The 13,231-nt window shown below is 42.6% G+C and overlaps 1 protein-coding gene across 10 annotated transcripts in view, besides 3 other annotated features; it reads left to right on the top strand.

Moving 5' to 3' along the window:
- The window catches only part of TTLL9 (tubulin tyrosine ligase like 9), a 74,367-nt gene that overhangs the window by 406 nt on the left and 60,730 nt on the right, over positions 1-13,231 (top strand). For 2 of the 10 annotated variants that reach the window (NR_134519.4, NR_148010.3), the window contains exons 2-3: positions 83-156; positions 12,982-13,063. The exons of 1 other annotated variant lie outside the window; for it this stretch is intronic. Coding sequence is in view for 2 of the 9 variants with exons in the window: in NM_001367620.2 (NP_001354549.1) it covers positions 8,844-8,858; positions 12,982-13,063 (97 nt within the window). In the remaining 7 variants the exon portion in view is untranslated. Of the gene's footprint in view, positions 1-82; positions 157-4,361; positions 4,406-8,516; positions 8,859-12,981; positions 13,064-13,231 lie in introns of those variants that run through there. 7 more of the 10 variants (NR_148013.3, NM_001008409.5, NR_160276.2 and 4 more) reach the window with 5 other exon arrangements.
- Positions 8,279-8,778: an enhancer, noted in NCBI's record as "H3K27ac hESC enhancer chr20:30467121-30467620 (GRCh37/hg19 assembly coordinates)". NCBI's record gives its function as "activates a minimal SCP1, AML or CMV promoter by ChIP-STARR-seq in naive H9 embryonic stem cells {active_cell/tissue: H9 hESC(naive)}" and the evidence as "EXISTENCE:reporter gene assay evidence [ECO:0000049][PMID:30033119]".
- Positions 8,944-9,003: a silencer, noted in NCBI's record as "silent region_12769". NCBI's record gives its function as "represses an Ori minimal core promoter by ATAC-STARR-seq in GM12878 lymphoblastoid cells {active_cell/tissue: GM12878}" and the evidence as "EXISTENCE:reporter gene assay evidence [ECO:0000049][PMID:35858748]".
- Positions 9,014-9,123: a silencer, noted in NCBI's record as "silent region_12770". NCBI's record gives its function as "represses an Ori minimal core promoter by ATAC-STARR-seq in GM12878 lymphoblastoid cells {active_cell/tissue: GM12878}" and the evidence as "EXISTENCE:reporter gene assay evidence [ECO:0000049][PMID:35858748]".

Genomic DNA, 13,231 nt, shown 5'->3' on the forward strand with positions numbered 1-13,231 from the left:
CCTGTTCACTCATTCACTCGTCCATCTTCCCATCCATTCATCCATCCTCTCACTCCTTCCTTCCATCCATTTCGGCCCCTAGGAGGGATGGTGCCATCCAGGGAAGCTCTGCTGGGACCAGGCACAACTGCCATTAGGTGCCCCAAGAAATTACAGGTGAATGTTGGGAGAGGGGTTTGAGGGAGGGTTCCAGTCTGAAGGAGACTACATCAGGATGTATTAATAGCTAGAGGTCAGGGTCCTGGAAGGGGTCTGGAGACCAAGGTTTGAGGCCCTGTTCACCTCTGACCTGCTAGATGACCCTGGGAAAGTCCCCGTGACCCCCAGCTAACCCTATCTGTGTTTCTGAGGATGTTGAGGTGAGCCCTTCCTGGCTTCTAGGACCAAAGCTGGAGAATGTAAAATAATCAAGACACTTCCTATAGGACTGAAATAGAAGCAGCTGCACCAGCTTTGTTCCTTCAGCCATCACCCCCACCCCTCAATCTATAGTAGTAGGTGACTGGGGATTGTGGATAGAGAGCAGGACAGAGAGAATCCACAGAGCCCTTTGAAATACAGTGATTGGAGAAAAATAAAACTGTTTCTTCCTCCCTCAAGTTCATAGCATACATGGGGCTGCCCGTCTCAGCTCTCATAAAAGCCCAGAGTTCTCATAAATACCAAATTATTCAGTAAATACTTACTGAGCATCTAGTATATGATAGAGACTAGGGACACAGCAGTGGGTAGAGATTGTTCCTACCTTCATTAGCTAATGGTATAGACCAGCATTGTCCAAATGAAATATAATGCCAGCCACATGTGCAGCCACATTTAAAAAGTAGAAACAAGTTAATTGTTGATAATATTTTTATTTAACTCAATATATCCAAAATATCATTTCAACATATAGTCAGTATTTTAAAACTATAAATGAGATATTTTATATCCTTTTTAAATTGTATTAACTATTCAAAATCTGGTGTCTTTTACATTTACAGCACATCTCAATTCAGACAAGTCACATTCCAAATGCTTACTAGCCATATGCAGCTAGTAGCTACATATTAGACATCTCAGATCTAGGAGGGAAGGCAAACAAGATAGGCAAACAAATAAATTATTTACAAATGGTCCCAGTTTTCTATGAAGGAAACAAAGCAGACAGGGAGAACCTCTCTGAATAAGTGGCATTTGAGCTGAGAGGTGATATATAAGAAGGACCCAGCTGTTTAAAGAGTGGAAAGCCAGGCGCAGTGGCTCATGCCTGTAATCCCAACACATGGGGATGCTGAGGTGGGAGGATCAATTGAGCCCAGGAGTTTGAGACCAGCTTAAGCAATATACTAAAACCCCATCTCTAAAATAAATTTGGCTGGGTATGATGGCTCAGGTCTGTAATCCCAGAACTTTGGGAGGCCAAGGCAGGAGGACTGTGTGAGCCCAGGAGTTTGAGACCAGCCTGGGAAACATAGGGAGACCCTGCTTTTACAAAAAAAAAAAAAAAATTAGCCGGGACCTGTAGTCCAAGCTACTCAGGAAGCTGAAGTGGGAGGACCACTTGAGCCCAGGCGGAGGAGGATCACTTGAGCCCAGGCGGTGGAGGCTGCAGTGAGCCATGAGCGCACCACTGCACTCAAGCCTGGGTGACAGAGCGAGACCTTGTCTCAAAAAAATAAAAAATAACACACACGAAAAAGAAAAAGAGTGGAGAGAGTATTTCCAGCAGAAGGAACAGCATGGGCAAAAGCCCTATGATGGGAATAGCTTGGCCTCTGTAAAAAGCCAGTGGGACTGGAGTAGAGGGAGCTACAGGAGGTGTTAAGAGGACGGTTCAGGGCCGGAGCATGCAGGAGCACATATGGCCATGATTGGGAGTTAAAGTTTTCCTTCTCTTCTGTCGGATAAAAATCCAACAGGAAAATTTAACCTGGGAGGCCAGGTCATCTGATTTATTTAAGTCAAATACTTCGACCCCTCACTGACCCTTTCCTTTATGGGGGCCACTGCAGCAGCTCAGGTAAGAGGTGACAGTGACCTGGGATAGAGTGGGACCCGAGAAGCTGGAAAGAAGGGGATGGACTCAGCATATATGAATATTTTCACAGGGCAGCTGAAAGGACTTGCAGATTGACTGGATGTGGGGGGAAGGAAGGAATTTTAGGATGGCCCCCAGGCTTCCTGCCTTGAAAGTCACTATCTGTGTCACAGAAATGAAAGCAGGGGTGTTCACCAATTCAACACGTTTATTGGGCACTGAGCTATATGTAGGAAATTGTGCCAAAGATGTGCTGACTTAAGTTTCCCCAAATGCCCGACCCATGGATGCTGTAAAGAAATGCTGATGCTGGGCGTGGTGGCTCATGCCTGTAATCCCAGCACTTTGGGAGGCTGAAGCGGGAACATCGCTTGAGCCCAGGAGTTGGAGACCAGCCTGGGCAACATGGCGAAATTTCGTCTCTACAAACAAACAAACTAAAACAAAAAATTAGCCGGGTGTGGTGGCACGAACCTGTAGTCCCAGCTACTTGGAGGCCAAGGTGGGAGGATTGCTTGAGGTTGAGGCTGCAGTGACCTGTGATCACATCACTGTACTTCAGCTTGGATGACAGAGTGAGACCCTGTCAAAAAAAAAGACAAAAGAAAGAAAGAAAGAGAGAGAGAGAAAGAAAGAAAGAAAGAAAGAAAGAAAGAAAGAAAGAAAGAAAGAAAGAAAAAGGAAGGAAGGAAGAAAGAAAGAAAGAAAGAGAAAGAAAGAAAGAAAAAGAAAGAAAGGAAGGAAGGAAGGAAGGAAGGAAGGAAGAAAGAAAGAAAGAAAGAAAGAAAGAAAGAAAGAAAGAAAGAAAGAAAGAAAGAAAGAAAGAGAAAGAAAACACTGATAAACGAGCCTGAAGACTAGCTCCTTACCATGGCCCTGGCCTTAGCAGCTCTGCGATCCTAGGCGGGTGAGCCAATGTCCCTTAATTTACCCATAGAGGGGCAATTGTAACAGTCCTTTGTGTTCCCACTGAGTGCTAAGGGGAAAGATACAAATTACATGTAGGAAAGAATTCTTTCAAGTTAAAAGCCCATATGTGTTATTAGACCTAACATATTTAATATCTATGTACTGTTCAGCCTTTGGAAGTATTAGTTATTACAAAGCCCAATCTGTCTTAAATCATGAAATGACCATTTTACAAAACCAATAATAGGAAGATGCTAAAATGTGGGTCTCACCCTGTCATTCCCTTGCTTAAAGCCCTTTAGTGGATTACTGTGGTAGACAAAATAATGGTCCCCCCAAAGGTGTTTACACTCTATTTCCTTGTAACTGTGAATGTTATATTACATGGCAAAGGGTAGAATTAAGGCTGCAGATGGAATTAAAGTTGCTAATTAGCTGATCTTTTTTTTTTTTTTTTTTTTGAGACAAAGTCTCACTCTGTCGCCCAGGCTGGAGTGCAATGGTGCAATCTCGGCTCAGTGCAACCTCTGCTTCCCAGGTTCAAGCTATTCTCCTGCCTCAGCCTCAAGAGCAGCTGGGACTACAGGTGCCCACCCATGCCTGGCTAATTTTTGTATTTTTAGTAGAGAAGGGGTTTCACCGTGTTGGCCAGGCTGGTCCTGAACTCCTGACCTCAAGTGATCCACCCACCTTGGCCCCCCAAAATGCTGGGATTACAGGCGTGAGCCACCGCGCCCAGCCAGCTGATCTTGAGATGGGGAGATTATGATGGATTATTCAGAGGGGCCCAACATAATCACAAGTGTCATTATTAGTGAAAGAGGGAGGCAGGAGAGTAGGAATCAGAGGGGATGAGATGACGGAAGCAGAAGTCGGAGTGGTGTAATTGCTGGGTTTGCAGATCGAAGGGGGCCCACAGCCAAGGGATGCAAGTGGAAAAGGCAAGGAAACAGATTATCCTAGAGTTTACGAAAGAAACTCAACCCTGCCGTCACCTTCATTTTAGCCCAGTGAGACCCATTTCACATCTCTGACCTCAAGAACTCTAAGATACTACATTTGTGTTGTTTTAAGTCACTTTGTTTGTTGTGATTACAAGCAGCAACAGGAAATTCATACACTCACCAACACCTTTAGGAAAATGTCCAACCTGCTTAGCATGGCACACAAGGAGGCCTTGTGGGATGTGGTTTCTGCCACTGACTTTGAGCAAGTTTTTAAATTTCTCTGGGCCTCAGTTTCATCATCTATGAAATAGGGAGGAAAAAAAACCCTCTGTAGGTCTGTAGTAAGAATAAATGAGAGGACATGTTTCAAATACCTAGTAGAAAGACTGGAACACAGTACATTATTATTATTATTACCATTGGCATTACTATTATCATGGAACAGTTGACAGAGTAGGAACCCTTGTCTCTACTCCCTTCATTAGGGCTATGTTTCCACATCTGTGAAAAAGGAAACAAGACCAAACAGGTTTGGAAACCTCGTCTCTCCCCTCTACTCCACTCTTTCCTAGTTACTGATCCGTGTCATGCTTTGCTTTCTCTGACTTCCAACTTCGCCTAATGCTCTTCTTTCTGCCTGGAATGCTCTTCCCATCCTCCTTACCAAGCTAACTCTCATTTCCTCCTGGAAGTCTTTACTGACTCCTATTAGACTTGTTTAGATCCTACTATTATGCATTCAAAAAGAATGCTAAACTTCCTCTATCATATTATTGTTATGGCCTGTGTGTTTTTCATTGGGGAAAAAAATCTTAAATCCAGGTAAGGATATTTTGATCTATTTGCTTCCATTGTGTTGTTTAAATAAAACAAAAACATTCTAAATAAACTTGAAGTAGTTAAGTTCCCTTTTCTCTCCCCACTTCCTTCACTCTCTCCCCAACTAGTATCATAAATTTAGTGCATATGTTTTGACACGCAGGGATACTCACCACTATACTCACGAGGATTGGCTATGGTGCATATCTTTTGAGTCTGTGTTTTTAAACTCTTACTACCTATACATACAAAATAATATGAAATATACTTTTATATGTGTTTATAATTAACACAAATGGTAACCTTTAAAAAACATTTCTCATTCTACAACTTTCTTTTATTCACTCAATAGGTTTTGGGGATATGTACATACTGATATAAATCTGGATCATTCTTATCACTGTATGGTATTTTATTATTAGAATATCTTGGCCGGGTGTGGTGGCTCACACCTGTAATCCCAGCACTTTGGGAGGCTGAGGCCAGTGGATTGCCTGAGGTCAGGAGTTCGAGACCAGCCTGGCCAACATGGCAAAACCGTCTCTACTAGAAATACAAAAATTAGCTGGGCATGGTGGTGGGTCCCTGTAATCCTAGCTACTCGGGAGGCTGAGGCAGGAGAATCACTTGAACCCAGGAATGTGGAGGTTGCAGTGAGCCAAGATCGTACCATTGCACTCCAGCCTGGGTGACAAGAGCAAAACTCCGTCTCAAAAAGAAAGAAAAAAGGAATATATCCCATTTTATTCATCTATCACCCTACTAGTGGACATTTAGATTGTTTCTAGTATTTTCTGCTGTTATCAAGAACATTGCAAACAACATCCTTATACATATGACCTATGTAGTGGTGTAAAAATTTCTTTAGGAAGGTTGTCACCTTGCACATTAACTACAAGATGAAAGGTATTCCATGGAGATGTGGGCCTATAAGATATCGTCTAGTAGTGGAATATCTGGGTTGTAAGGTGTGTGCATTTTCAACTTTATGAGATATTGCCAAATTGCCTCCCAAGGTGTGAATAGCATGTAAAGGCTCCCGTTTCCCCACGTCCTCACTAACATCTGACCTCATGAAAAACATTGACATATTTTTTGTATAGCTGATGTATTTCAAATCATACGATTATTTTTATTTACATTCCTCACTAACATCTGACCTCATGAAAAACATTGACATATTTTATTTTTGTATAGTTGATGTATTTCAAATCATACGATTATTTTTATTTACATTTCTCAATTGGCTTACTGGCCATTTGAGTTTCTTCTGCTGAAAATTCCCTATTTATATCCTTTGCCCATTTTTCTTTTCTTTTGTAGGGGTGAGGGTGGGGTTATCTTTTCCTTAATGGTCTGAAGGAGTTCCTTGAGCACCAATCCTTTGTTATATATGTTGTAAGTGTTTCCTCCCAGTCTGTAGCTTATCTTTTAATCAGATTTACCATGTCTTTTGTGCAGTGGCATGATCTCGGCTCACTGCAACCTCCGCCTCCTGGGTTCAAGTGATTCTCCTGCCTCAGCCTCCCGAGTAACTGGGATTACAGGCATGTGCCACCACACCCAGCTAATTTTTGTATTCTTAGTAGAGACGGGGTTTCACCATGGTGGCCAGGTCTCAATCTGTTGACCTCGTGATCTGCCTGCCTTGGCCTCCCGAAGTGCTGAGATTACAGGCGTGAGCCACCGCGCCCGGCCTGGCAGTTTAAATTTTGAGGTAGTCAGATTTAAACTGATCATCTTTTTCCTTTATGAATAGTGCTTTATTATTATTGTTTATCTAAGAAGTCCTTTCCCACCCCAAGATAATAAATATAACATGTATATGTCTTAAATATTTGTTATATTTATTTAATCCATTTAATTAGGCATCTATTTTTCAACCCTATGGAAAGTAAATTCTCAGTGCCATTTACTGAGTCCTCTATTTTTTCCCCAGTGATTTATAATGCCACCTCTATTATACATCAAGTATACACACACACTCTCTCCTGTGTCTGTTTTGAAGCTCTACTCCTCATTGGCTTGGTAGGCAGAGAAGTGTCTCCTTGCCCCAACATATACACATTGTTCTTTTGATTTTGACAAGATTTCTCAAAAATCCTGATTGGATTGGGGAAAATACACATCTTTCTGATATTGAGCCTTCCCATCCATGAACATGGTATATCATTGCATTTATTTGATGTCCTTTAATAATATTTTATAATTTTCTCTATGAGAATATAAACTCTATTAGGGAAAATGCTTTGTCAGTTTTCCTTTCTGCTGTATTTTTAGAGTCAAGAACAGAGCAGGACACAGAGTAGAAGCATAAGAATTTGTGGTTTAATGTCTTTCATATACTTTATTAGATCTGTTTCTACATATCTTATATTTCTGTTGCTATATATTTTTATTGTAGTTTCCAATCAGCTATGGTTGGTATATAGAAATTCAATATACAGTGAGTCATTTTTGGATTGATTTAAAAAACAAAAAACCCTTTTATTTGTTCTAATACTCTGTAGATTATCTTGGATTTTTAAATGCAGACAGTTCTGATGGACATCTATTTCAGAAGGGAAGAATGGATATTGTGTAGGCAACTAGCAGCATCTTCCACACTACTACTGTATGAAGCTAGAAGAGGCAGGTACTCTAGTCCTAGCAGCTAAAGCTGTTTGTGGACTTTAAATCTGAAGCAAATAGTACAACAAAGCAGGTGTCTGTTGAGTATTCATTTGGCCAATTCCAGTACTAGTAGTGGTATCTATTGAGCAGAGGTGCTAGTACCAGCAACAGCATCCAGTACTATTTGCAGCAGTCTTGCCAGTAGTGGTGTGGGATGTCCAGTAATAATCAGAAATGGCACCCCAATCAAAGTTTCTGCAAACTCTGATTTTGACCATAATTTTGATCAGATAGACTCCCTGAATTCCTTCCCCATTTTTTAATTCTGATTTCCAACAACTCTGTGACTCATTCAATATCCTACCAATGAATTCCATTTCTATTTCAGTTAATCAAAGATAGTTTTTTGTAACCAAGGACTCTGAACAATTAAACTCTCATGCTATCTGCAAATGATAACTTTGTCTCTTTCTTATATATATCTCATATATATTATCTATAGATCTAATAAGATCTATGCATTCAAATAATGAAATGCGTAGATCTTAAGTTTTCAGTTTAGTCAATTTTGACAAATGCATATACTCATGTAACCCACATCTTTATTAAGAGATGGAAATCCCCATCACTCCAGAAAGTTCCTTCATGTCCTTCCCAGTCAACCCCTCAGTACTTTTAAAACTTCAATGAGCTGGCCGGGTGCAGTGGCTCACGCCTGTAATCCCAGCACTTTTGGAGGTCGAGGCAGGTGGATCATGAGGTCAGGAGTTCGAGACCAGCCTGGCCAACATGGTGAAACCCTGTCTTTACTAAAAATACAAAAATTACTCAGGCATGGTGGCATGCACCTGTAATCCCAGCTACTCGGGAGGCTGAAGCAGGAGGATCACTTGAGCCCAGGAGGCAGAGGCTGCAGTGAGCCCAGATCGCGCCAATGCACTCCAACCTGGGCGACACAGCGAGACTCCGTCTCAAACAAACAAACAAAAAAACTACAATGAGCTATCACTGTAATCACTAAAAGGAAAAAGATGGACAACATCTAATGTTGGTGAGGCTATAGCCCTTAAGATTAGAAAGCGGCTGGGATAGCAGAGGCGACTGGCCGCGTTACCGACTGACCAACTGACCAGGTGACTTAGTGAGTAACTTCGTTAAGTAAGGAAACTCAGTACCATTACATTTACCGAAAGCTGACAACTTTTCAGATGCAGCGCTCCCAGTTTAAGGAAAGTGCAGTTGGAGGCGGCGTGGGGCAGAGGGAGCCAGCCTCTGAACGAACTGCCCCAGGGTCGCGGAGAGGCGAGGCTGGAAAAGAAAGGTTGAGGAAGTCGGGGGACCTAGGCTGCCAGGACGCCCAATAGCCTCCAGAGGTTCTGGTGGACCAGAGCCTGCGCACTCCGCCGAGAGCATGCCCTTGGCTCATCCAATCAGAGCGGCGGATCCAGGCGCCTGTCTGTCGCCTTGGCAACGGGACGCATAAGCACGCGAGGCGCGCGGTGGCGGTTTGGATCTGGCCCCTGGGGAATCGCGTTATGTCGCGACCGAAGGTAGGAGTCGACCTGACCCAGATGCTTTTATCGTCCCTAGAAAAAGGGAGGAAAGCAGCAGAGGGATTCAAAATCGGTTGGGGATGGGTGTTCCTCGCGGAATGGGTAGGGGTGGGGCGGGGGGGCGGGGTGGGTTGTTCTCGCGGAGGAATTCCGAAAACAGGAAGAAAAAAAGCCGAGGAACTCAGAGGAAAGACTACAAGTCCCGGCATGCACCGCGCCGCCCAAGCTGCTGCGCAAGTCCCGCGAGCCCGGCCAGCTGGCGGGAAGTTTACACAACAGTGGGACTCTAAGCTCCGTGACCCCAGGGGAAGTTGAACCTCAGAATTTCAGATTTCCTGACTTGGCGAAACCCGCCTGCCCGTCCATCCGTCCATCCATCCATCCATCCATCCGTTTATTCATCCATTCAAAACAACGCTAATTAGTGTCTTTTCCAAGCCAAGCTCAGTGCCGGCCAAGGGACACAGGTGAATCAGACAAACCTCTGCCCTCCAAGAGGGCACAGACCAACTCTCCCATTTTAAGAATGGGAAAAATGAAAGTCCAAGAGGGAAAATGAATTACAGTAAAATTCAGCTCTCCGCACCCCAACCGACTTTTTTTTTTTTTTTGAGACGGAGTCTCACTGTGTCGCCAGGTTGGAGTGCAGTGGCGCTATCTCAGCTCACTGCAGCCTCTGCCTCCCGGGTTCAAGCGATTCTCCTGCCTCAGCCTCCTGAGTAGCTGGGACTACAGGCGCTCGCCACCACGCCCAGCTAATTTTTGTATTTTTAGTAGAGACAGGGTTTCACTATGTTGGCCAGGTCTCGATCTCTTGACCTCGTGATCTGCCCGCCTCGGCCTCCCAAAGTGCTAGGATTACAGGCGTGAGCCACTGCGCCCAGCCTCCATCTTACTTCTTAATCCCAGCTCTCATTCATGAATGGCACCTTCATTTCTCTTCTTTCTTTCCTTTTTTTTTTTTTTTTTTTTGAGACAAGGTCTTACTTGGTTGCTCAGGAGGGAGTGCAGTGGTGTTATCTTGGCTCAGTCGACTTCCTGGACTCAAGCGATTTTCCTCCCTCTGCTTCCCAAGTAGCTGGGATTACCTGTGTGTGCCACCATGCTCAGCTAATTCTTTTTTAGTTTGTGTAGAGACAGAGGAGTCTCTATGTTATGTTGCTATGTTGCCCAGCCTTGTCTGGAACTCTTGGCCTCAAACCCATCTCCCGCCTTGGCCTCTCAAAGTGCTGGGATTACAGGCATGAACCACTGCACCTGGTCAACCTCTTATTTCTTTTAATTCCCTCTCACAACAAAAAATGAGTTTATCTGCTTTCAGAGTGCCTTGAACTTTGCCTTTTTACTACAATTCATTATTCATGTGACTATTTGTTTAACATCTGTCTTCCCTGCTGCTCTGGGATCTAATCTGACTTGTTCTTCCCTGTATCCCTGGTCCTCAGCAGAGCTGACTACAGTTGATACATGTTGAATGACTATTGAACTACCTGTCTAGATGCTCAGCTAAAAAACTGGGACTGTTGACTCCTCCATCTTCCTCACATCCCACATCCAATAAAAGCCTCCTTCCTTTAACTTTCTAAATATGTCTTGAATTTATTTTTTCCTCTACCTCAACTACCACTATGCTAATCATGACCAAACTCTCAAATTTTAAAAATTAATACTCTTTAAATACACAGATTGGGACACATATAACTTTTTTTTTTTTTTTTTTTTGGAGACAGTGTCTCATTCTGTTGCCCAGGCTGGAGTGCAGTGGCATGAACACGGCTCACTGAAGCTTCAACCTCTTGGGCTCTAGTGATCCTCCTGCCTCAGCTTCCTGCATATCACTTTATGAAAGTGTTAGAAAAAAAGAAAACAAACATCTACTGAAATAGTCCCTTCCCTTGAACCCGACTGATTCCTTTGAAAGGAAGGACGAACTGCAGGTTGCTGAAGAATGCACAAACTCTTAGCAGTCTACACTGTGAATATAGTATAGACATGGGTGTAGCAGACCATGTTGGATGAAGGAAAAAAATAGTGGACTACTTCTTTGTGATGCTATGAATTTTGTTTTTGTTGTTGGAAAGGGAAAGAAAGGTCTCCTGTATATTGACTTAGGACTTTGTGGTTTCTTTCAAATGACCCAGGGGAAATAGGAGTATGAACTTATTTGAGCAGGAACGTTCATGTCAGCCTTAAGAGAACATGCCAGGATATACTTTGTGTACCCTCACGAAAATATGCCTAGAGAAGGCCAGAGGTCAGAATACCGCGTGTTCCAACCTTTGACCCCATCTCCTCAAGGTTATGGTCGCCAAGACCTCAGCTCTGAGTTGTGCTGGGAACTCTCCAGAGGGCTAAGGGGAAATGAGGAATTGGATCAGGCAGGAATGAAGCTGGGATTAGTGGAACCAGCTAAGCAATGAAGCTGATCTCTGGTTAGATAATCAAAGTCTTGGGTAAGCTGGTGTGGCAAACTGGTTTCAGCATGGCTGTCTCCACCTGGTAGGTATTACCAGGGAGCTCAGAGCAGGACTCCAGGAATAGAGACAGGAATGAAGGCAGGTGGCAATGTCACCAGCCTATGCTCTTTTTGACTCAACACCAACTGGCGCCATTCGTGCTACCTTCCATGAATGGCACCAACGAGAAATAAAATTAAAGTTCTCTGTTTGTAGCCCATACAAGCAACTAAGCCACTTTTGAATCATTTTCTCAATAAGATAATTTTTTAAAAAAAAACTCTTGTAGCCTTGTCTTTTCTAAATGCATTATTTTAGTGGTTTGGGGAAAGTATTTATATCCCTGGGCTGTTTTTTGGGTCAAGATAGTAATAGGACTTCTATCTCAGGCAATATGACAGATGAGATTTCTTGAAAAGCTTATTAACACAACACACTTAAAACTGCTGGGCAAAATGTAACAAACATCCTTTGAACTGTATAGCTGACCTGTTTATGTGGAGGGGTAAGGATTGGTAGAAGAAAAATCCCCAAGGAACCCCCACCCTAACACACACACACAAAAAGGAAAATAAAAAAACAGAATTGTCACTAACTGATTCTTCATTCGTCATTTCCCTTGGGGAAGACATTGATTGTCTCACAAACAGGAGTTGGAGAGTGTCATGGGGCCCACTGGGCAAGGAGTTGGAACTGAGACCTCACCATAAAGCTGGACCCTTCAGAGACCCCCACCCTTAGTAAAGGTGTAATTAGAACCAATTTACCCTTCAGCAGTGGGAGACAGCTAGGAAGCTAGTCAGCTTCAGTGCAGGGAAAAAACCTTTCTCCTGAGAATTCTTTCTTTTTTTTTTTTTTTTTGAAACAGAGTCTTGCCATCACCCAGGCTAGAGTGCAATGGCACAATCTCAGCTTACTGCAAGCTCCACCTCCTGGGTTCAAGCGATTCTTTTGCCTCAGCCTCCCAAGTAGCTGGGATTACAGTTCCTCGCCACCATGCCTGGCTAATTTTTGTATTTTTAGTAGAGACAGGATTTCACCATGTTGACCAGGCTGGCCTTGAACTCCTGACCTTGTGATCCACCTGCCTCAGTCTCCCAAAGTGCTGGGATTACAGGCCTGAGCCACTGTGCCCAGCAAGAATTCTTAATCTTAGATGAGTCCTCAGGCTAATCTGAGAAATGCTTAATAAAATGTTACCATAAAGTTTACTGTTCTTGGGGGCCCAGGCAGATGTAAATGTTAAACATCTCTGAGTCAAACATCTTTGACTCCTATAATGGTCAAATTACATAATAATTACCTAATAAAAGATGTTTTAAATGAATTATATAATTGCATAATTACATAAGAAAAGATGTTTTAAATAAGTTAAAAAAAAAAGCCTGTTCATGATAAACCCTCAGAAAACCAGGGAATAGTAGGAAATTTACTCAATATAGTACAGGAAACTATAGGAACCTACAGCCAATATCATTCTTAAAAGCTGAAATAGAGAATGCATTCCTCTTGTGATCAGGAGCAAGATAAGGATGTCAGCTCTTACCACTTTTAGTCAACTTTGTACAAACCAGAGTTTTCACCAGTGCAATAAAGCAAGAAAAAGAAATAAAAAGCATAAATATTGAAAAGAAAGAAGTAAGTAAGTCTGCCTTTATTCACAGATGACATCATTGTATCCAGAGAAAACTCAAAGGATTTACAAACTACCAGAACTAATCATTCAGCAAGGGCATCAAATACAAGGTCAATATACAAAATCAGTTATACTTCTATATATGTATCAGTTTCCAATGTCTGCTTTAACAAATTGTCACCAATTCAATGGCTTTTTAAAGCACTAACTTATTACCTTATAGTTATTATTTATTTATTTATTTATTTTTTGAGATGGAGTCTCACTCTGTCACCCAG

Source organism: Homo sapiens, chromosome 20, assembly GCF_000001405.40.
Source record: "Homo sapiens chromosome 20, GRCh38.p14 Primary Assembly".
Taxonomy (NCBI): Eukaryota; Metazoa; Chordata; class Mammalia; order Primates; family Hominidae; genus Homo; species Homo sapiens.